At 36.3% G+C, this 25,205-nt stretch overlaps 1 long non-coding RNA gene across 1 annotated transcript, besides 1 other annotated feature; it reads right to left on the bottom strand.

Moving 5' to 3' along the window:
* Positions 1 to 359: 359 nt before the first annotated feature.
* On the bottom strand, positions 360 to 20,441 carry LOC105377505 (uncharacterized). Its single transcript, XR_001741895.2, has 3 exons — positions 20,157 to 20,441; positions 4,190 to 4,294; positions 360 to 762 (listed from the first exon to the last, which is right to left on the bottom strand). It is a non-coding gene; the product is annotated as an uncharacterized LOC105377505 (long non-coding RNA).
* Positions 24,860 to 24,999: an enhancer, noted in NCBI's record as "active region_22082". NCBI's record gives its function as "activates an Ori minimal core promoter by ATAC-STARR-seq in GM12878 lymphoblastoid cells {active_cell/tissue: GM12878}" and the evidence as "EXISTENCE:reporter gene assay evidence [ECO:0000049][PMID:35858748]".

Raw genomic sequence — 25,205 nt, 5'->3', positions numbered from 1 at the left:
GATTTCTTATACCTAAAGAAAGTAAAGTCACCTTATTTTGAATTGAGTATTGACTTGTGTTTTCAATGGGTTTCTAATGCTAATATAAATTAAAAATGTTGAAGTACACCGACTGGCAAATAAATGGAATTAGTGAAACTCCCATGGAAAAAATAACCCAACAACACAGTCATGCATGTTAAGGTGTCATTAGCAAAGAATTTTGCCGTAATCAAGTAAAAGGGCACTGAAATAGTAGAGTAAAAGTGTTCCATTATGTAGTAAAATTATAACAGCAAAATATGTCTGGCACTATTTATAATTAATTTTATAATAATCAAAAGATAGAATAAAAATAAGAGAATAGAACTATGATATAAATGATCTCTTAATAGCCTTTTTAAAGTTCATACCTGTGTTATTGGGCACATTGTTAAACTTCTTTTTTTTCTTATCCATAAAATGGAAAAATATAAGCCTAAATAATAGAGCCATTGAGATGACTGGGTTAACACAGTCAAAGAACCCAGAGCAATAATTCTGTCTATTATTATTATGATTTAAAAGAAGCAAATAATGTTGATAAATGCAATCATACTGAATTTGAGTATATATGTTTTGGTCTTATTTTTCAGAGAATTTTCTATAACTAACTGCAGTAATTGCCCCACAGCACTTCTTTATTCAATTACCTCGAGTAGAAAGAGAATACAGCTTTCTTGGTTGCAATTATCATTAGTATGCAAATTCTATCATTAGCACAGAGTTCTGCAGAGGAGATAGCTGGAAAAAAAACCACAAAACACTGATGAGCATTCTTTCATAGCACTGCATAGTTTCTCCATGGTGACGGGGAGTAAAACTCTGGATTAAATGAGTAGAGATATTAAAGCTTCCTATTATCTATCAGCTTTTTCATAGCATTTGCTCTATTTACGGTGCAAATTGTACCAGTATGAACCTTGCATATGGTATGTTGAAACCAAAGTGGGTTGTTTTGTGTTAACACAGGAAGTGTATTATAAGATCATGATCTCTGAACCCAGATTGCCTAAACTCAAGCCTCTGCTCTGCTCCTTATTAGTTGTTTAACCCTGGGTAAAATATTTAAAATCTCTGGGTGTCAGTTTCCTCATATGTAAAATGATAACAGTACCTACTCCACAGGGTTTAGTGAGAATTAAATGAGTTAATATACATAAAGCACTGAGCATAGTGCCCAGACCTAGCAATGTCCAATGTCAGTTATTACTAGCAGTCGGTGTGATAGCTTTTCTTACTACCTTTTTTGATCTACATAAAATCTCTCTCTAATTTTGGAAGAGTTTACCTCTTTTTCAAGCCAAAGCATTGCTGTTATTGTTTTCAGAGCACTTAAATCCATCTTTCTGTGAGCAATCATTTAATATTATTGTCCAGAATTTTCCTTACAGTGAGGAAACTACCCTTTGGTTGCAAGTCGCTGCTGACTCTGTGCCCTCTCCTGCCCAAACAGGAATTGAGCACACTCTGCTCTCCTCTGAAGTTCCACTGTCCACTCAGAATCCAGACTAAAAGAGACCTCACGCTGCAGTAAGTGGCTCTGATGGTAGGCCAGGATAAGGGAATAATTATATATGATTTTCATTCTAATTTTGTGCCTACAGGGGAGCCCTGCTCAATGCAACTGTTAAACTGTGTTCGTTTTCTTCCTCAAATGGCTTAAGTCAAGTTCATTTTCTGAGGGCTGCCTAGACTACTTCTCTGAGTTTCACATTTTATATTTAACTCTCAACTGGTCATCTCTATCTAGATGTCCAACAAGTGCTTCCTATCCAGTGTGTCCCAAATTGACTCATCATCCTTCCTCTAAAAATACCTCATCTTCTGGCATCTTCTGTCTCAGTTACCCAAGCTAGAATTTTTGACAGCTGTCTCTTCCTCCCACCCTACACTGAACCTTAAACTTCTTCCCAGCTATTCTAGGATAGTCCAGATTTCAAATATTCTGCCCAACTTTCCATAATTTATAAGCGGTCTAAACTGCTCAACTGAGCTTCAAGACTGTAAATTTGCAATAGAGCCATTATGTAAAGCTCTGGGATTTCTCTCCATTGTTGCTCAGTTCAGAGAACATTGATTCTGATATTTGACCATAGGTTCTATGTATTTTATGATATAGTGTGTAAATCAATGAATTCCTGAAGATAAAATCATAATGTAAAACCTAAATGCTAAAAAACACAGTACCCTGAAATCAATGGCTCATAGTTAAAGCGAAATCAAATTTACATGTCCATGGAAATCTGGTAAATTTGATTTGGTTTGTGTGTTCAATAGGAAAGGACATATGAAAAGAACATATGCACTGTCTGCACAACATAGTGAGACTGTCTCTACAAAAAATAAAATTAGCCAGGCACGGTGGTGTGTGCCTGTAGTCCCAGCTACTCCAGAGGCTGAGACTGGAGGATCACTTAAGTCCATGAGTTCCAGGCTTCAGTGAGCTGTGGTTGCCCCACTCCACTCCAGCCTGGGCTACAGAACAAGACTCTGTCTCCAAAAAAAAAAAAATGCAAAGAACATGGCATTTGCCATGACACTCAGTTTATTCAGGTTAAGTGAAGACTTTGCATAGTTTTTTTGTTTGTTTGTTTGTTTTGCATTTTCTTTCTTTTCTCCTTCATTCTTTGACCCTGTAAAGTACCAAGATGGGAAAAAACTTTAAGTAATATTCTTTAATTTCCATTAAAGTCCTTAAATAAAATATTACCAAAGACCAAAAAGCCTGACATTTCCTAGCAATGCATAGGCATTTAGCTGAAAAAAGAACAATAGCAAAAAATACAAAAAATAGTAATTGTCTATTCCAAGTCTATCCTCTAGATGAGAGATTTGGGCCAAGATTCACTTTTGACTTTCCAATGACCAAGACAAAACAAAGGAAACCAGATTAATTATTTGTGTTGCTTTCATGCTCACCATTTATAACTACAGATAAAGCAAGATTTTAGCATATTCATTGTCCCTCTTTGCCATTTTAAACCTTGTAAATCAACATTAATATTATTTAAGAAGGTCAAAATGGTGATGGAAGAAGCCATTCTCATTTTTTTTAAGTCTGAGCATTGGGTGTGGGGTGCAGCTGTGACAGGCACACATGTTCCCAGGGGTCTTGTTTTACTACTGAGAGATACAAGGACGTTCAAGCTCTTAACCTTTCTCCTCACATTCTCAAAAAATGCAGTAAAAAATAAAATAAATGTAATTTTAAAATGAGTGTGGTTGTGCTTCATGGCAGGCAGTGGTGTGTGAGTGTGAGTGTGAGTGTGTGTGAGTGTGAGTGTGCGTGTGTGCGCATACACGTGCATGTTTAACATCTCTACCTAATGTGAGAGCTGGACATTCAATCTAGCTATCCTGTGCTAATTACTTGTGCAGATGGAGAAAAAAAAAGTTCAAGTTAATTTAAGAGAAATTAGCGTCATTGTGTAGAATGAAACAGAACTTTCAAAGTTTTTAACATTGTTTTTTCCATGATTCCTTGTATGAGGCAAGCAAATCACCATCAACAAAATGTTTCCCATGAGGAAACCCGGTCAAAGAGGTCAAATAATTCCTCCTGAATCCCATAACTCTGAGGCAGCGCATTGGTTCAAATATCAGAAAACCTGGCACTAAGTCTTTCCGTATTTCCACCCGACAGTCTTGTGTTTTGGAAGCAACTCATTTAACCTTATCTGAATCACCACCAAAGTGCCTAAAACCTGCAAGATGATAAGGGCTTGCAAAATTTAAATAAATCACAGCCCAGAAAAACAGCCACACTTTGTCAAACCATCAAATAGTTGGCAGCTCTTTCTTTCCTTTTAGGGGTTTTCTTGTTGGAGTTGACACTCTGGTTAGAGTAGATTCTAAAATGGTTAGACTTATACAACTTTGTTGTAGTACTCACTCAGAAGAACTACTGCCAACAGAATTATTCCAAAAATGCTAGTCAAGTACAATTCCAGTTAGAAATAAAGGATACCCAAATGTGTGAAGTGTGACAAGTTGGTTTTAGTAAACAGGGTCTATGGACCTAAAGTAAAGCCCCATCACCTCCAGAAGATGACCTATTGAACAAAGACTAATTATGCACCTTTCTGCATGCTTCAGGCCTAAGGAGATTCCTGGCATATAGGAGAAGTGGGATAACTCTGAGAAAAAGTTTTGCTGGAGCATGCCTAACCTGGGACTACAGTTCTCGGGGAAAAATTTCTTTTGCATCCTCCATGGTAGGCACCTTGTTCTTTCATCCTTTTCCTCTCTCCCTGGCCATGTTCATCCATGTTTCCTGTATGCAAAGACAAAATTAAACACACCTAAAAATAGAAAGGCACAGGCACAGAACTATCAGAATGGATGCCCTACAGTTAAAATGGTGTTGACAGTGAACAGCCAGCACCACTCTCTGGGTGAACATCAGCCCTTCATTTCCTATGAGAAAAAAATTGTCAGAACTACTTGTCCTAGACACAAGTTTTTCATGCCTTTGAAATAGCTGAGGCTGTGTTTCTTTTGAAGCTCATGGATATACTTGAGAGAGTCCATTGACAATGTGAACTTCATTGCAAAATTATGTATGTGCATTTTTCTGAAGAAAAAAACACTGTAATTTCCATGAGATTCTAGTAAAAAAAGAGCCCATGACTCAGAAAAGTTAAGGAGTACTATTTATTTGGGTTAAAATGATAAATAAATCAGTACACTAAAATGCTAGAGAGCAGAGTAGACTCATTCCCCAACAGGGTACTATTTAATTCCCTAACGGGTTATATAATTGATGTAGCACAGGAGTCTTTTAAAGACCAAAGGAAACAACCTCTATTTATGTAAATTTATAGGATGGACCCTAACACTTCAGGAGAGCTGCCTTTTCAGGAGTGTCTCTGGTGACAGGGAGATCCATTAGTCTTGAAAAATATTCTCAGCCTGTTCATGTCACTCAATGATTTAAATTTAATAATAACTTGATGATGTATAAATGCATCTTCCACCCCAGAGTTTTACTGGTAATTGAGAATGAATTTATTAAATTGGCCCCTGAGAGGTTTCTGTTGAGAAAGGATGACTTTAGCAAGATCACGGTGAGGACCATGATGAAGAAGGGAAAGGACCCAGAAAGGACTCAAATCTCCCTAGCAGGTGACTGACATCATTTCTCTTCCATGGAGAACCTCAGCAATGATTAAGAGCACATCCATGGTAATCTAGTGCAGTCCTTCTGTGTCTTGCATGAGTCACGTCGTTACAGAACAGAAAAGTTTGGGGTTCTAAAGTGACCTTCACTGACTTCTTTGTCAAAGACAGGTACTTTCTTCTGGGAAGCTGGAGTGAACGAGCCTGTGTGGTTTGAGGTCAGAGCCCACATACTGCTGCCTGTTCCTATTTCTAGGATATGCAGAGAAAATCTATGGAAGAAGAAAGCATTTATGATGATGAAAACCATTAGAAGGAGAGCAGTTTCTTGAAAATTAATCCTAGAACTCATGTAGTCACAATTGAAAAGCTTCTATCACCAATTACAGTCTGATTGGATTAAGACTCAGAAAGATGTAACTTTTAGCTTACTCTTACCCATTTCTTAGAAGTGTCATTCTGAAGGCAATCAATAGCACTTCTGGTCTAAAACCCTAGAAGGCAGCTCTTCCTCCTCATTCTACTAAATGATGTCAGGAAGTCAGTCATTTCTATTACCCAAAGAGATTCCTATCTGTGGTTGGCTCATACCGATATTCACTAGGCACAGCACTTTACGGCTCCCTTTCACTGATTCTATTGTTTTCCTCCCTGCAGAGAGAAGACCTTTTTCTTTTATCAATTATTTTAAAATAGTATCTAATTCATTTCAATATTAATGAACCTCTGGATCAGATAAAAAATTTTCCTAACTTTTAAAGGGGTCAAATTAATTTTCTTCATGTCACTAAGAAACAAAAGCAAACAAACAAACAACAATAACAGCAAACCAAGCAACTAATAAAAATTGGGTGGAATACAACTGGGTCCTAGACTGAGTCTTCACTGGTATTACAGTAACACTGCTAACTGTTTTCAACAAGTCTTTTAAAACTAATCTCTTGTATTCATCTGCAGTGAGGTAAAATATCAGAACAGTGTTGGGGAATGCTTAAATCTAAAAAGGAAGGATGCAATTTGCTAATACTTGCTATGTAAGAGACACTTTGTTGTGTGCTTCGTATGTATTATTTTCATTTATACCTACAGAAAACCCCATCTTACATAGAGAAAACTGAAGTTCAGGGATGAGCTTAACCTGCTCAGAGTCTCAATTGGCGGGCTTTGAAGAAAAGATTTAAACACAAATGCTTGAGTCCAGTAACACTGTGTAAAACCTCTGCTCTCACACAATAGCTTTTGAAATATCAGACAAAAGCTGAGGAACCTAAATCAAGATATTTTGTAAGATGCTTTAATTAGCAAGACTAAAATCAGGTCAATAAAATATATATATATATTTAATGCTGAAAGTGAGATATGGAATAAAAACAAACAACCAAAATGTGCAACGTTTTTCTGGAGTCTGGCTGAATCCGAAAGGTTGTTTAGTGGCTTTCTTTGTTTGTAGTTGTTTTCTCTGTGAAAGACAAATTTTTTGTAGTCTAGCATTTACATCTCATTTTTGATCTACCAACAACAGCTTGTCTTTTTACCCTTCTGTCCTTGAAAATGTTCTTCAAGGCCCAGCATCTTTTTCAAAATCTGTCTCTTAATTTGTAGCTCAAATGCAGAAGCAAAACTTACCCTTGAGACAACATTCAGAGCCATTTCTTAATTTAGGGCATGAGTCAGAATCCAGCAGAGCCATCCATGATTCTACAGTACACAATTCAATTTTTGGCATCAGACCAGCAAGACTCATAAAAATAATGAGAAATAATAATTCTTCTAAAATCTCATAAAACTGAAAAAGACTTCAAAACTCAAAAATTCTTATTACAATTATGGACATCAATGGATTCAATTATGACATTGTACAGGGAACTTTTCATTTTTATCCAAACAGTTTCAATAATTAAATCATATTTTTTCATGTTTCCTGACACTTGCTGTTACCAACAGTGCACTAATCTCTATAAAGGGCCAAAGAAATCAAGGATAATGATCTCCTACTGCTAATTCACAGGAAGGTTTGCAATTTTTACTTTAAAACGTTGTAGGAAGTAAATTGCAGATTTGCCATCACTAAACAAACAGCTTGAAATGACAGACTAAAACAAAATAGATGAAATTAGAGAGAAACGCATGGAGGAACATACAGCTCTAAATTTAGGCCACAAAAAAGTCACAGACGGAAAAAGCAGTCTAAGAGTGGGGCTTGCGACAAATAACTAGAGATATTTAATTTGGGGCTTAAAATAAATTACTGTAATGAAGATCTTTGAAAAGAAAATGCTATTGTAGGTTTTATTAATAAATTCATAGGTTTAAAATACATGGCAGTTCTATTACTGAGAGTCCTACTTGTTCAATGAGCTGTTCTCTGGATGGAGACAGTGACAATTTGGAAAATTCCCTTATAGGGAGTGATGAAAGGAAATAGGGATGCCTTATCTGTATGAGTGGATTTTACATGAAGATAAAGGACCACTGCCTTCAAATGGTTGAAGCACAGTCATCTGGAAGAATAGGGATTAGAACTATCTTCTGAGGGTTCAGCAAGTAAAGCAAGAACCTGAGGGTCAGAATGATAAGCAGTTTCGTTTTAACTTAAAATATAAAATAATTTCTAACATTAGTCATACAAGAGTCTATATTGCTTGCAAAGTATTGTGTTAGGTGCCTTGTGCTGAAAGAGGAGCCACGGTAAGAAAGGGTGCTTACACCTGCAGGGAGCTGACTTCTCAATGACCACTATGTTTCCTACACTGTGTAGACGACTGAGTTTGGTATCTTTATAAGAACAAACTGGCCAAGTGCGGTGGCTCATGCCTGTAATCCCAGCCTTTGGAAGGCTGAGGTGGGCGGATCACGAGGTCAGGAGATCTAGACCATACTGGCTAACACGAAGAAACCCCGTCTCTACTAAAAAATACAAAAAATTAGCCAGGCGTGGTGGTGGGCACCTGTAGTCCCAGCTACTTGGGAGGCTGAGGCAGGAGAGTGGTGTGAACCATGGAGGCAGAGCTTGCGGTAAGCCGAGATCACATCACTGCACTCCAGCCTGGGCGACAGAGTGAGACTGTCTCAAAAAAAGAAAAAGATTAAAAAAAAAGAATAAACTAAGGGGAGGGGATGATACTCATTTAAATTTTAACCTAAAAATGAAAATCACTATGGGAATAAGTACCTAATCATAATACGAATACCCTGTGACAGATGTCTTAAGGGTGTATTGAAAGTTTTCTTTGGTTCCATGTTTGTTTGTTTATTTAATGTATTTGTGTTCTTTTAAAGTCAACAATTCTGAAACAACAAACTGAAGCTTCTGCTTATTCTTTTCTTTGCCTTGATACTTTTTTCCAAAGGTAATGGTTAGGGTTAATGGAATGATCATGATCCCTCTTTCAGTACCTACAATGACACCCAATCCTTTGTAATTGAGTAATCCCAAACCACACTGGATTTTTCTCTCTGACCAGATTTGTACGATATGTACATTTAGCCTTCTTTAATACCCAGGAGTCTAGGTCAGTGAGCTCACTTTCTGAGGACAGAGATTAAGGATATCTTTTCCTTACCTCCAAAAGGTTTATTGAAAGCAATATAATGCCATTAAAATGTTCTTTTGTTGGGGTGGAAGGGGAGTTAAACATAGTTCTAAAGTAAATCATTCAGTCCTAAATTACCAAAAACCTTATGGTGAATATCTACTTTGCTTGCTGAAATAATAACAAATCTTTATTTTGAGCTGTGTCAGAATTGCTGTTACTGAGCTATAGGTGCATTTGTTAAGAGGCACAATTGCAAACATCATGCAGATGAAAAAAACTTACCTAAGAATGTTGTAAGACATTTATACATAAGGATATAGGAAATCTCCAGAAAATGATAGTTTCTTGCAGTTTATCTTATTCAGTTCTTTAAGAATGAGGAATAAAATTTGTGACTGAACATTAATGAAACAACCAGTTAATACATCCTTCCATCATTCTTACCACATATTCTTAAATAGTTTTAAATCTCTCCCTTCTTTCTTGGCTATCTTCCCTTTCTCTCCTTCTCATTCTACCTGTCCTTCCTTCATGCACCATTTCTCTCAGAGGTAATCAAGGACAATTTTCCTGACTTCTGTTTAAGCAGTCTGTGTAGAAAACTAAGGGAATTAGACCCACTTATCTCTAGAAAACCGGTTACATTCAGAGGTCCTGATGAAGATTCTAGATAGATGATAGATAGATAGATGATGTTGATAGATAGATAGATAGATAGATAGATAGATAGATAGATAGAATTCTTTGTATGATTCAATGTAACCATATTTTAAAATAGCAAACTAATCATTCCAATAATTTTCACACTCATTTTATAACTAAAACTGGAATGAAAAGTACTCAAGGCATACTATTTCTGCAAAGCAGTCTCTATCTTCACCAGCCTAGAATGCATCGTCATTGTCTTCATCAGCATGTAGAGAAGCTGATGGTTGTGTTTCCAGCTCTCAGCATCGTTTGGCTGCAGAGATCGGCTGCCCTGCTCATCACAAGGCCAGCTAGAAACATTCAATTACCAGCTGTGGGAGCACAGCTGAGACTGTTATCCTTCGCCCTGTCAGTTTGAGTATTGAAAACAACTGCTGAAGTCCATGATAAAGGAACAAAACTACTTTCAGAAAAGTTGACATCTGAAATACCAAATTCTCCTGGCAACAAGTTAGAGAAAACTTTCATTAATTAAAAAAAAAAGTAGGAACTGACAAATTAGTTTTTCAAGGAAACCAACATTTATATATACTTATAGATTACACAAATACTAGGCTGAGAATAAAAGCTTATACTTTTAGTACCAGCTCTCCACAGGAGAGCCTAAATACAGACAATTATAAAATATTTTTAAAAATACACAGAATCCATTCCTCTGTTTGAAGATATGCATATTTGAAGCAATAGGAAAGCTTGCAAGAAACAGTCTGTACAAAAAGACTTCCAGAAGCAGTACAAAAGAGGACTACTCAGAAATCACATTTCAGACTTGAAAGTAGCTTAAAACTATTTAGTTCAGTCTTCTGTTTTTTCAGCTATGGAACCTGTGAACGGGAAATAAATCTCGGGACCCCCAAATCTCTAAGCCAAAAGGAAAAGTCAAGCTGGAACTGCGTCAGGAAAACCTGCCTCCTATTTTATTCCTAAAAAAGATAGCTAAGAAAGCTACATGCCTGCCTGACAATTCGCCCACAAGGAATTTGCACACAAGGAATAGGGTAAAGACCTTGAGGAAATTTCAGGGTGAAATTCCAGTTCTGTTGAATTTCACCCTGGCAATGTAAACTGATAGCTCATCTTCACAGGTGCAGGGCAGAAAGTCATCCCTCCGCTCACCTGAGACAAATACATATCTGATTGCTTCCTCTACCTTATTGTTTACTTAAAAATGCAGATTCACTAAGCCAGACTAAGGCATAAATGACTATTCCTCTACCCTCCTCTCATATGTAAATTGTGTATTCAGTGAAAAGCTAATCAGAGACTCAAGAGAACGCAAAAGACTTGTCAAAAAGAATTGCCTTTTATCTTCCTATGACGGAACCAATGTACATCTTACATATATTGATTGATGTCTCATGTCTCTCTAAAATGTACAAAAGCAAGCTGAACCCAACCACCTTGGGTACATGTCATCAGGACCTCCTGAGGCTGTGTCACCGGCACATCCTTAACCTTGGCAAAATAAGCTTTCCAAACTGATTGAGACCTGTCTCAGATTTTTTGGGTTACAAACTAAAGAGATACTGTGAACAAAACAAGGACAGGAAATTCACGGGGGGAGAAACAGACTGAAAACTCTGATCTCTTAAGAATTTGTTCACAGTTCTTTCCATCTGAGAAACGTTCTATTCTATGAGTACTTCCTGAGGGCCTAACATATGGATGGCTGTGTGCTGAGTTTGATGGAGCATGCAAAGATGAATCTTCATGCAAACTGCTCACATCATGGGAGGAGCAATACCATATGAAGAGATTTGCTAACACCCAATATAAAGTAGTGTGTGCAACATAATTTCAACATAAGTTCTACTACATTCTTTGAGAACTGGCAAAGTTTAAAACGTGGCCAGCAAGTTTAAAAACATGACCTATGACCTGATAATGCTGCTGCTGTTATTGGTGCAGTTAAAACATAAAAAGTCAGTATTCTATGCTTTTATAAAGGCCATTTTTGACTATAGATTATTGAGCCTTTTTTATGTTCTAAAAATGGTTCCTGTTTTACTTTATGTATTGACCTTAAAATACACGAAAGGTCTAATTATGAGTCAATCCATAGAATAATTTTTATATTCCTCTGATATATTTCCATTGAAAAATTATTCTAGCAAAGCAATTATAAAAAAACTCTTAAAATGAGGTACTACTGCTTAAATTCAAGCACAGTGCAGTATAGTGTTTCTAACTAACAGTTAAATCAGTAATATGATATACTCTAAAGTCTTTAGGCTACAAAATATTAAATTAAAACAATATTTCATAATTAAATGAGAATCAATAAGAGAAAATATTTAACTACACATTTGCGTTTGAAATGAATCAATTCAGGTTGCATTTTGCATATTAGTTCTACTATAATTTGGTTTTCACATTGTTCATGAAAAGTCTCTTCTGGAAAATAAACTAGGGAAGAAAGCTTAAAAATTAACTTTATTAGTGAAAGTGAAGAAAATTAAATGTATGCCAAGAAGTTTAGAAATTATTTGGAGATGTCATTTGTGTTATTGTTCTCCTTTGCTATCTTAAAGAGATATCGATGGGGACAGGAAAGCTCTCTTTTTTTTTTTTTTTTTCCCACAATGTCAGTTCTTACCACAATAAAGCTCAGATTTGATTTTATGGAAATGTCAAAAAAAAAAAGGAAAATCATTTCTTCAATTATTTATCTTCTTATTATGAACATGTTCCTCTCTCTGTGTCTGCCAAGTCATCACAAATTATCACCATCAGTGTTCATGAAAGCTCAGGTCCTAGAAAATTCTCAGAGTTGTTTATTATAAAGCATTTGCCTAAAACATATCCTTTTCGCATGTGAGCCTTATAGATAAAAATGATCCTGAGTGGGCCGGGCACGGTGGCTCACGCCTGTAATCCCAGCACTTTGGGAGGCCGAGGCGGGCGGATCACGAGATCAGGAGATTGAGACCATCCTGGCTAACACGGTGAAACCCCGTCTCCACAAAAATACAGAAAATTAGCCGGGCATGGTGGTGTGCGCCTGTAGTCCCAGCTAATCAGGAGGCTGAGGCAGGAGAATGGCGTGAACCCGGGAGACGGAGCTTGCAGTGAGCCGAGATCGAGCTACTGCACTCCAGCCTGGGCAACAGAGCGAGACTCCAACTCAAAAAAACAAAACAAAACAAAACAAAAAAAGATCCTGAATTAAATAGACGGAGGACAACCTGTTTTGTGCCCCATTATATACTAAAATGCTACAAGCCATTCCAAAACCTTTACAGTATGCTACTAAAATCTAAAAACAATACAAGCAACAACAACAAAAAGAGTAAATGTTCTGAAGGAAAGAAAAAATAATACTAAAGGCAACTTAAAAAATAATACCTATAAAAAACCATTTTTATAAATCGTGTTACCTCATTTCCCTTCCACAATTATAACAGCATGGAAAAAACAACCAATTTCATTTTTTGCGGTAGGGTAGAAAATTGCAGTAAGCTTTCTGGTGACCATCTGTGATTTAATAGCCAAAACGTTTATTTTAAGACTCAGTTCTGTAGTTTCTGTGAAACTATTTAGGATTCTACAATCCAAATTGATGATACTAAAGTGCAAATATAAAGCAGATGCATCTAAATTATATTAGAAAAAGTTTAAAATGGTACTTGATATTTTCTAGTTTAAGTATGCGAATACTAATATGCACTAGGAATCAAATGTTGAGCAACAACTTAGATCATCTTTTCTTCTTTGCTTCCTGCTTTAGTCGGCTAGTGCTGCCATAACAAAGTACCACAAACTGGGTGGCTTCAACAACAGGAATTTATGGTCTCACAGTTGTGGTGGCTAGAAGCCTGAGATCAAGGTGTCAGAAGGTTTGGTTCCTTCTGTAGGAAAATTTGTTCCATGCCTTAGCCTCTGGTTGGTGATTTGCTGGCAATCTCTGGCATTTCTTGGCTTGTAAAAGCATCACTCCTCTCTTTGCCTTCATCTTTAGATGATGTTGAGCCTGTGTGAATTTCTAGCCAAATTTCCTTTCTTAAAAAGGACAACAGTCAGGAGCCCATTCTACTTCAGTATGACCTCATTCTCACCATAATTTACATGTGCAAAAACCTCATTTCCAAATAATGTCTCATTCTGAAGTTTTGGGGGTTAGGACGTCAACATACGAGTTTTGAGGGAAGACAGAACTTAATCCATAACGTTTCATAATGGAGGAGAGAAGTGTGAAAACTGATAATGAAATACAAAAATGATAGTTTTTCAAATGATTTCAGTTGACATTCCAGTCAAATATTCTTGTTTGCAATGTAGAAAATCTCAAAATAATGAGATTTAACAATCTACCTAGAGAAAATTAGTATTCAATATTGATCTATGTGATTGGGGTGGAAAGTTAAATTGTTAGTAAAAAAAAAATTCATTTATTTGTGAATAAAGAAATATTTTTTCCAAAACATTTCTCATTCAACTGTATTCTTGTTCTGTTTTTCTCTTCGGAAAATTAGATATTATTTAGCTAATTATAGGGTTTTGATGCTAGGGATATTTAGAATATGTTCAGTATACAAAGTTAATTCTTGATTGTCATTGTTTTATTAAATTAATAATTGCAGAAAATTCACTATTTGTAACACATATTTTTGCCAAAGTTTAATTATAAAATTAAAAATGAGTACACAGACAATTTTAAAATATGTATATCAACCAAATAGACTTTGGGAAATGTCCCCTAAAGAATCAAAATCACTTGAACACAAGAAGTTTATTACAGTATTGTTTATAATAGCAAAAATCTAGAAAACAAACTGAATTCCATTAAGAATGCACCGCTTGAATAAATTAAGGTTTATTCAGCCTATGTAATATTATACTATGATTAAAAATAAAGATTTATATTTTTTTATCTGAAGTGATGCCCAATATATCTTTTAAAGGTAAAAAAGAAAAAGATAATTTCCAACAGATGTGTATTGTATAGTGCCACTTTTATTAAAAAAAAATATATGTATATGTATGCCAATGTGTTTTTGCATTGACCCAGTAACATATGTGGAATGATAAATACCAAAGTATAAATATCAGTTATTTTAGGGGTTTGGAGTTCAAAGAGAGAAGATGAAATTATTAACAATATTTCCTAAGACATGGACATTCTCTTTATATGATCAGATACAAATTAACCAAATTGGGAAATGAAACACAGAAACAATAGTATAAAACCGCAGATCATATTTCAAATTTATCAATTGTCTTATAATGCCTTACAGAGCTATTTTCCACAGTTTAGGATCCAATCCAGGATCACACTGCATGTCATGCTCATGTCTCTTCAGACTCCTTTACTCTAAGATAGTTTCACAGATTTTCTTTGCTGTCTTTGTGTTGACAGTTTTCAAAAGTGTAGATCAGCTACTTTAAAGAATATTTCTCATTGTGTTTTTTTTTCTGATGATTCCTTATGATTTGATTCAGAAAATGACATTGTATTCCTTTCACTGCATCATGTCAGCAAGCACTTGGTATCAGTTTGTCCTGATACAGTGAAGTGAACATTGATCTCTTCATTAAGGTGATGTCACCCACCAGAATCGTCAACCATAAATTAACTATCTACCCCTATATAATTAATAAGCAATTTGTAGGGAGCTATTTTAAGACTGTGTAAATATCCTATCTCTTGTTAATCTTTTTAATTTGCATATAATATAAATTCAGATTTTTATTTTATTCAATAGATTACAATTTATTATTTTCCGTTAAGCCAAGATAGTTAGTAGAATTGTGTAGATATCTTATTCCTGCACTGATTTGCTACTGAATTCTTGGTCTAATTTTCTATCATTACTAAAAAGGACTGTAAGATATTCAAATACATGTTTGGATTTTTTAATTCCTCCCTATATCTTAACCATTTTGCTTTCGTATTTTGAAGCTCTGTTGTTAGGTGCATACTCATCTATAATGGATATGTCTCCCTCAAAAATTACCCCATTATCACTGTGAAATTTCTTTCTTGATTTTTCTGATAATAATAGAGCTATTTTAGCTTTCTGATACTTAGTATTCCATGGCATATATTTTTCCGTTCCTTTCTTTTAAGCTACTTGTTTCCTTCTAAACAAAGCTCACCATTTGGTTTTGCTTTATATACAGTCTGACAATCTGGCCTTTTAATTGTAATGTATATTCTATTTGCGTTTAACATAATCATTGGTTTGATTTAGGTTTACTGTTTTGCTATTGTGTTCTATTTGTCCTATTTGTTTTTTAGTCCTGTGTTCTTCCTCTTCTGCCACTTTTAGCTAACCAAATATTTTTGTATTCTATTTTAATTCTTCTAATGGCTTTTTAGTAAGAACTCATAGTTGTATTGTTATACTACTTCATAAAAAATGGAAGAACATTGAGGCCAGGTGCGGTGGCTCACACCTGTAATCCCAGCATTTTGGGAGGCTGAGGCGGGTGGATCACGAGGTCAGGAGATCAAGACCATCCTGGCTAACATGGTGAAACCCCATCCCTAATAAAAATACAAAAAAATTAGCCGGGCGTGGTGGCAGGCACCTGTAGTCCCAGCTACTCGGGAGGCTAAGGCAGGAGAATGGCGTGAACCTGGGAGGCGGAGCTTGCAGTGAGCTGAGATCATGTCACTGCACTCCAGCCCTGGCGACAGAGGGAAACTCCACCAAAAAAAAAAGAAAAAAAAAAAAAAGTAAGAACATTGAACCAGTGTCTCTGCATTTACAATTCTGCACGCTATTATTGTCATCTTTTTTATTTGTATATGTTACAAATATGTACATGTACATATGTACATGTATATGTTACAAACCCATTACACAATATTATGTTTTTATTTTTATACTAAATTGACTTTTTTAAAAGTAAAAGAAGTATAAAAGATATTTGCTAAACATGCATATTTGAGCCAGGTGTGGGGGCTCATGCCTGTAATCCCAACACTTTGGGAGGCCAAAGTGGGAGGATTGCTTGAGCCTAGGAGGTCAAAGCTGCAGTGAGACCTGATGGTGCTACAGCACTCCAGCTTGGGCACCAGAGTGAGACCCTACCTCCAAAAAAAAAAAAAAAAAAAAGAAAGAAAAGAAGGAAAGGAAAAGGAAGGAAAGAAAAAAAAGAAAAGAAAAAAGAAACAATATTCATGTTTTTACGATTAGTAATACTTTTCATTTCTTCCTGTGGATTTGAGTACCCATCTGGAGTCATTTTTTAATTCAGCCTGAAAACCTACCTGTAGCACTCTTTTTTATTGAGATGGCCTTACTTTGTCACCCAGGCTGGAGTGTGGTGGCATGATCATAACTCGTTATAGCATTCCTTTAATGCTTTCATTTATTTGAAAATAACCACAGTTTGCAGACTCTCTGTTCATATTTTTAGTTTTTTTCTTTCTGTCCTTCATATTAGATAATTTCTACTAATTTATCTTCACATTCCCTAGCCCTCTCTTATGCTCTCTTTAATCTGCAGTTAATCTCATCAAATGAGTGTTTTATTTGTGTGTTGCAATTTTCAGTTCTAGAATATTATTTGATGATTCTTCATAGTTTCTATTTCTCAGATGACATTTCATATCTATTCATTCATTATAATCATAGCATGTTATTTGTTTTGTGCTTCAATATATTTATGATAGCTACATTAAAGTCCTTTTCTGTCAATTACAACCTCTGAGTTTTCTTAATGCTGGATTCTATTTACCGCTTCTCTTAACTGCAGGTCTCATCATTTCTCTGTGTGTTTCTGTGTCTCAAAAAAAAAAAAAAATTACCAAAGGCAACTGATAATGAAGTGTGCTGAACAATTTTTTAAATTATGTTCTTAAAATATGAATAGATTCAGCCTACATCTTTAGTAATTACATGGATATCTTCATCACCCCCAGTGAAGCAAGGCTTAAGTCAATCTAAGCATTAAAATTAATCTTACAGAGCTAGAGTTCCTTGGGGAACAACAAATCTTCTCTTCATTTTATATAGGAAACACATTTAATATAAATGTTATTCTTTACTGCCAAAACAAAACCATAAAACAACAGGATATCAAAATATCATCCACTAGGAAACAAATTCTTAGACATTGCTTGTCGTCTTATAAACTGGTGAAGATTTTCTGAAAAGCAATCTGGTAATATTTAGTCAAATTAAGAATGCAGGTACCCAATGACCTACTCTACCAATTTATAGGTTTTATAACCCATAGAAATTCTCAATGAGATTCATGACCGTTGTGGGTATTGACTATTGTAGTACGAAGGTGGAGCATGTCTGAGAATACATGAGCACTGTTTTTGGTGCTGGTGTTTTGGAGGGCAACAAAGTGCTTATTACTAAATAAATTAAGATTAAAAAGTGGTGGGTATACATTATGAACTCCAGAATGCAGTTAGAACCAATAAACCAGGTGGACATACATAAACATGCATATATATAAGCACAATTGCTTGAATAGCAAATGAATGTGAAATATTTCTTAGACATAATTTATATGAAATAAATAGCAGATTAAGTGAAATTAATAAATTACCATCAAGATATAAAATAGAGATTATTTTTAAACACTGCATATGTATTCAAATCATATATCAAACCAGAAGAATTGTTTTCTATGGAGGAGAAAAATGAAATTGAAATCTTGGATGAAGACTACCAAAAGAATAGATTGGCTTCTTCTTAATACTAATGATGATAATGTGCAATGAACTGACGGGTAGATTCACTCAATTCTTTTTTTTTTTTTTTTTTTTTTTTTTTTTTTGAGACGGAGTCTCGTTCTGTCGCCCAGGCGGGAGTGCTGTGGCGCGATCTCCGCTCACTGCAAGCTCCGCCTTCCGGGTTCACGCCATTCTCCTGCCTCAGCCTCCCGAGTAGCTGGGACTACAGGCGCCCGCCACTGCGCCCGGCTAATTTTTTGTATTTTTAGTAGAGACGGGGTTTCACCGTGGTCCCGATCTCCTGACCTCGTGATCCGCCCGCCTCGGCCTCCCAAAGTGCTGGGATTACAGGCGTGAGCCACCGCGCCCGGCCTCAATTCTTTACCATTAGGTACACTCGAAAAAAAAATCTCCCCTTGAGCTAAAAAGAATTTCACATTTTAATCTTTTAAAATTTTCTGGCATATAATTTAAAAATATCTATTTAAAGGCATATACTTCCAGAAAATTATTTTAGGGAAAAGCCATAAATATCCATTACTGGAAACAAATTTAACACTCAATAATAGAAAGCAGTTAAAACTCATAACTATATTTAGCCACTAAAATCATATGATGTAAATGTTTAGAAAAGAGAAAAATAGTTATTAAATTTTAAGATATATACAAAACCAGTATGAGTATTATGATTCCAATTTTGTTGGAAATGTGTATATATAAAAAAAAGAATAAAAAGATACTCCAAAAATATTTACAACAGTGATGTTTTATGTCTGGAATGATTGATCAATCCTGTTAACAAACCTTAAAAAAATCAAAGAGGCAGGAAAGAACTAAAATATTCTCTATTTTGTCATCCTTTCCTAAGTCTATATATGAATGCCTTTTTATTCTGTTTCTGTTTTTGCCCCTCTTTCACTCTACCATTCAGTAAGAGCTACCACTGAAGATACCATTTGCTTTGGGCTCAATGCTTGTGTCTCCCTAAAATTTTCATGTTGACATCTTAAACCCTCAGGCGATGGAATTAGGAAGCGGGGCCTTTTGGGACTGGTGCTCCTATTTTAATAGGCCCAAGGGAGCTTGTTTGCCCCTTCCACCATGTGGACACAAGGAGATGGTGCAGTCTGTGAATCAGAAAGCAGGTGCTCACCAGACACCAAATTTGCTAAAATCTCAATCTTGGAATTCCCAGCCTCCAGAACCGTGACAAAATTTCTATTGTTTATAAGCCATCCAGTTTATGGTATTTTTTTAACGTAGCAGACTAAAAGTACTAAGACTCCATCTAATGAATGGAAATGGATTTATCAATTTTCAATCCAATTTTCCTAGGGTACAGAAAAAAGAAAAAATGTAATTATATATACTTAAATATTTCTCATTGATATCTCACAAAAATATATAGATTTATGCAATTCACTTAGTAAGAGTATTTAAGAAGGAAGATCATGGGCAAAAATGAGGAAGTTTACTCTTAGCTCTATTTTTCTCTTTGCAAATTCATCAGGATTACTGCTTGATCTTATGCCTTGTGAATGCTATCCTTAGGATTTCTATAACCGTAGTTCAAGTTTTAACTTATTGTATGTATCATAGTATAATTTGTTCTCTATCAGTCTTTATGTCCACCTCATTCACCTACCACCTACAAAATTTTTTAGATAGCCTTCTTTGCAAAGTGTTTAGTCTCACATTGTCATTTTATCCTTCCAGCAACATTATTAAACATAAATTCCTTACAGTCATGTTTTCATCTTCCTTTTACAACTTCAGTGGTTACTAAATATTTCTAACAGAGTGAAATAAAATACCCATTATATTATAGCTTTGCCTTGTGAGTTTGAGTCCAATGTAACCAGCTTTTGTTTAAACAGTAGAAGTAAAGTGATAGTGCAATAAAATGAAATCCAGTTAAAAAACATTTCCTACTAAGTGCAACACATTATGCCAGATGCTGCAGGAGAAAAAAAATTACAAACCTGTCCTATCTTCCAAGAGTCAACAGTTTCATTAACAATAGTAATTATATTATATTTTTACTCTTAATGTTCTTCCCTGAGGAAATGGCTTCTCCCGAAGCACTCTCAAGGCATGAGTTTTTTTTATCTGTTTCTCTCTTGCAGCCTTCTTACCTTCCAGCCTGTAGTGGGGGTAGGTGTTCCATTTGTCCTCCTTGTGGCTTTCAGATCAGCCCTCCTCCCTCCTCGAACAATCCTCCATTTTTAAACCTCATTTCTCATGATGCTGTCATCCGTGGCAACTCCATTAAAAGCCCAACATCTCAAATGTTTGTTCCTGGCTCCCCAGTCCTGTCTAAATTCTTGGCTATTAATGTATATTTCTTCCAATTTCCTGCATTCTCAGTTCCTAGAGCTCCTCTCCTATGAAGATGTTCTCTTCTGAGAGGCTGAGACAGGAAAATCCCTTGAATCCGAGAGGTTGCAGTGAGCCTAGATCACGCCTCTGCACTCCAGCTTGGATGACAAAATGAGACTCCGTCTCCAAAAAAAGGAAAAAAAAAAAGATTTTGTCTTCCACCTGTCTCAACTACCCTAATTTGCCATTACTAAAAAACACAGCCCTCTTATTTCAATTTCCTTTACTTCGTTTATGACCATCTCCTTTCCTTCCTGCACATTCCCTTTATGTCTCGGACTTCAGAAATCCTCAAAACCTACTGAAAAGACCATTCCTGTGATTCTACTTGCTTTGCACTCACTTTCGTCTTCTTCGTTTCCTTTTTGCTCCTTATCTAGTTTAAATTCCACTGTCATTACAGTCACTCCCATGCAGTCATCCTTAACTCTCTTGCTTTTATCTCACTTGGCAAGTCACAGTGCTAATTAATCCAAGTTTCCACCTATTCCCTGCTGCACCAGAGCAGCTAAATGGGGTTGGTGAAATGCTTGATGCGTGTGAACCTCAAACATCCCATAAAGTGGCCTGGTGGTCCCACTGTGCTTCCCCCAGTCTACTCCTTTTCCCGCTGTCCTCAATGGACGCCTTCCCTTGTCTCGTCTCTGCAAACTTTCAGTGCTTTCCTCCATCGTTGGTCTCAGTGGAGAAACTTCTTCTCCTGTCACTGAAAAAATTGAAGCTATCAGGGTCTGGCTCGGTGGCTCAAGCCTGTAATGCCAGCACTTTGAGAGGCCAAGGTGGGCGGATCATGAGGTCAGGAGTTCGACACCAGCGTGGCCATGATGATGAAAACCCTCTACTAAAAATACAAAAATTAGCTGGGCATGGTGGCCTGTGCCTGTAATCCCAGCTACTCGGGAGGCTGAGACAGGAGAACTGCTTGAACCCAGGAGGCAGAGGTTACAGTGAGCCGAGATCTCACCACGGCACTTCAGCCTGGGGGGACAGAGCAAGACTCTGTCTCAAAAAAAAAAAAAAAAAAAAAAAAAAAATTGAAGCTATCAGAAAAGTATTTCTCAATTCCCCTCTTCATATCTTTACAGCATTCGCACCTGTGGACTCTGTCTTTAGTGAGCCATCTGTGTTTTTATCTAAAGCTAATTCCTCCACATGTGCACTAGATCCCATTTGCCAGCAATTCTTCCCTCTGTCTCCTATTTCTCCAATTTTCCTCTCTCTACTAGATTATTTCCAACAGCCTACAGGTATGCAGTTATTTCTCCCATCTTAAAAAAAAAAGAAAATCTTATTTGACCCCATCTTCCCCTTTGTGCCAAAATTTCTCAAAAGATCACTTATATTGGATGACTCTAGTTTCTTTTCCCAATTTTTCCAATTTTTATATTTAATTTAAAAATAGCTTTAGTTTTTAAATAGTTTGAAGCAATTTATGGAAAGTTCAAAGGCATATAGGACTAAATGTTGAAAAAAAATTGGAACATTAATAGCCATTCCTAAATTACTAAAATATTGTAATCTTTATAAAGACAGATAAAAAGTTGAATATTATTGCTTTTTGATATCTCAAACTACAATGACAATACATGTTAGACTAAGAAGGACTGATACTGTCGTGGACTAACAGGTAACTATATTTATTTTATTTTATATTTTGGTGTTATACAGAGCCTTACCCGGTCAGGTCTCTCAACAGTTATGCAACACACTTTTACAAATGTACCAGTAAAGATAGGAATAGATTCCAGTGAAAACACTGGTTCTTGTAATGAAGTTTAATTTTTTCCACTTTAAACTGGGTTCTAGACTTTTAGCAGAATAAGCAAAGTCTTTTCCTGGGATCAGTATTACAGAACCGGTTTCTAGCTTCAGGTTTTATGCTTTTAATTCAGAATGTTAAAAGGTCTATTTTTAGGAAGAACGTTTTGTGCAACGTTTGATCTCATTTCAAGGTAAATAGATGTGAAATCTGAATCCAGATTCTGAAACTTTTTAGTCTCTTCAGTAATTCCCAGTGATGCCAAACCTGAATGTTTTGAAAGAAGTAAGTGTTCACAGTGCCAACATTAGAGAAACATTTACATTGTTCTCCTTGGGTGTATATTAATCTGAATGCCGTCTTATTTAATCTTCATAAAGCATTAGATTTAAAAAATTAGTATGAGGAAAGATAGCATTTCCAAATAGTTGAACTGTAAACCACCTAGTTTCCAGTCATAATACCTGTCTCAGTTTACTTCTCATAACTCTAAACCTGGAATTGATGATTTCATGGAAAGATAAATTCCTAAAGAAGTAAATTCATACAAACAAGGAATTAAATGCTGTATCTAGAACCTCAAAATTATATACTCTTTAGTCCTTATGTTTACCAAGCAAAGGACTTGCAGGAGAAAGGAATGCATCATCTTTACTATCTCTATATTTAAAATATTTAACATATTGCTTTGAATTATTTAGTGTTTAAGAAACTATAGTTCTATTCTTGGGTGGCCAATTCATGATGGAAGAAGAAAGTAATTATGGTAGCATATTTGAATAGCACCATCGGGTTTTTAAAATTTGCCTTGGCCTATGCATGTGCATTTGAAAGCTGATTAGAGCTTTGAGGAAAGAATGTCAGGAAGAATGCTGAGAGACAGTAAAGCAAAGAGATATAAATGATGTCTCTAAAGCAAATCAATAAATTAGATGAAGGCAATTTGGGGGGAAGGGGAACTGAAATAAGAGTGTCAGTAAAGAAATGGGAGAATTCAAGATGGTAGCATGGTTTCTAGCTTGAGTGACTGGATAAATAGTAAAGCCATTGACATGGATAATAAAGGAGGAGAAATGAGTTTGAGGAAAAAATAGTAAGTTCACATTTGAACTTGTTTCATTTGAAGTACCTAAAACATGCAGATTGACACCAATCTCTTTTAAAAAAGAGGTAAAAATATACATTCTGGTATTATCAGAATATTATGGATAGGTGAAGCCAGGTAGGAATACCTGTACTGAGAGAAAGGAATCTGGCTGAAAGAGGATCCTGGTATCATATGAACCTCAAAGAAGCAGGCAGGGGAACTGGCAGAGAAACAGAGAAAATAAAGACCAGAAAGGCAGCAGGAGCTGTGTCAGAAAATCATGAGTTTTAGTGAGAAGTTATTTCAGAGGAGTTTGGAGGTGAGGCTTGCCCATTTTCACAGCATTGTTCAACCCACCGAATGGCCTTTGCCTTCCCCTCTCACCCTTTACAAAACGTTTCCTGCCAAGTGTAAGCCTCTCTTCTCCCAAGCTCAGAGTAACCTCACCCAGTAGCTTCTTAGACACCTAAAAGCACTTTATCCAAGATTTCTTCTTTTGGCAGCTTAAAGTTCTTAATTATTACTTACAATTTCAATCTTAAACAGTTACCATCTTAACCTCTCCTCTTGCTCCTAACTCTCTTTGTCTTGTGCTACTCTTTCCAATAACAATTACCATTACTAATAACTGATAATCAACAATCTCACCTTCAAGCTATATTAGTTTGCTCGAGCTACTGTACCAAAGTCCCACAGATCAAGTGGCTGAAACAGCAGAACTTTATTTTCTCACAGTTTTGAAAGCTAGAAGTCTGAGGTGAAGATGTCAGCAGGGTTGGCTCTGTCTGAGGGTCATGAGGGAAGATGTGCTCCAGGCCTCCCTCCTTGGCTTATTGTTTGCCATCTTCCTTCTATGTCTTCATATTTTCCTCCTTATCCTCATGCCTGTGTCCAAATCTCCTCTTCTTGTGAGGACAACAGTCATATTGTGTTAGGACCATCCTATTGACCTCATTTCAGTGTATTTACCTTTGTAAAGACCCTGTCTAAAAATATGGTCACATTCTGAGGTATTTGGGGTTAGGACTTCAACATATGAATGCTGAGGAGACAGAATTCAGCCCATAACAAAAACTATCCTGAATATCACCCCTGCACTAGAGAGCATCTCACCCTTACCCCTGTTCTCCCCACAGCCTGGCCCCAAATTTACGCCTCACTCCTGCTCTATGTCTTATATAGATTACATCAAAAAGCTGTCTTGCCTTCTGGTTCCATGATGGATTGGGCTAATGGGAATCATTTTAGAAAAATGGAGGGCAGGAGGAGAGTAAAATCAGTCTTGTATTCCCAGAATTCCCACCTGCCCAATAATGTGGGCCATCTTGGGATCCTGGCAGAGGACTTGCTCCTTACAGCTACCTTCTTCAGCTTGCACCCTTCTCTTGCCCCCTTCAGGCTTAGGGGTGATAACTCATTGGTGTTCTCAGGGTGCTGCACTACTGTGCCATGTGGGCTGCCTAAACTCTGACCTACATTTGTAAATAGTCTGTTTGCCAAACTTCCTCAATTGCCAAGTTTGAATATTCCAACTGTTTTTTGCGAGGGCCCTGACTAATATAACCTCCTATTTTTCATCTTGTTTTCTAGTATTCACCTTCAAAAAACTTTCTATCTGACTGCAACTTTCGGTCTGTTGATTCTACCACCTTTCACTATCCCTCGTTCCCTTTACGTCCTCATTTTCCTCCTTGTTTGGTTTATATTTTGTCATTGATCTTTATAATCATTCCTTTGCTATCATCTTCAACTCTGTCCCACTGTAGCTGAGTTGCACTGCCTTGGCAAAAACTCAACCCAGTTTAAATCAGCTTTCTCCCTATTCTGTGCCTGCACCATCCCCATAAATATAGCAGAAGGAAAGTATGCAAATATGCTGAACTCATGAACCCCAAACAAAACCAAAACCACAGCCTGAATGCAGCCTGGTGGTCATACTATATGTTGCCAGTTTACTCA

Source organism: Homo sapiens, chromosome 4 (genome assembly GCF_000001405.40).
Source record: "Homo sapiens chromosome 4, GRCh38.p14 Primary Assembly".
NCBI lineage: Eukaryota > Metazoa > Chordata > Mammalia > Primates > Hominidae > Homo > Homo sapiens.
This window is presented reverse-complemented; position numbering and strand designations above follow the sequence as displayed.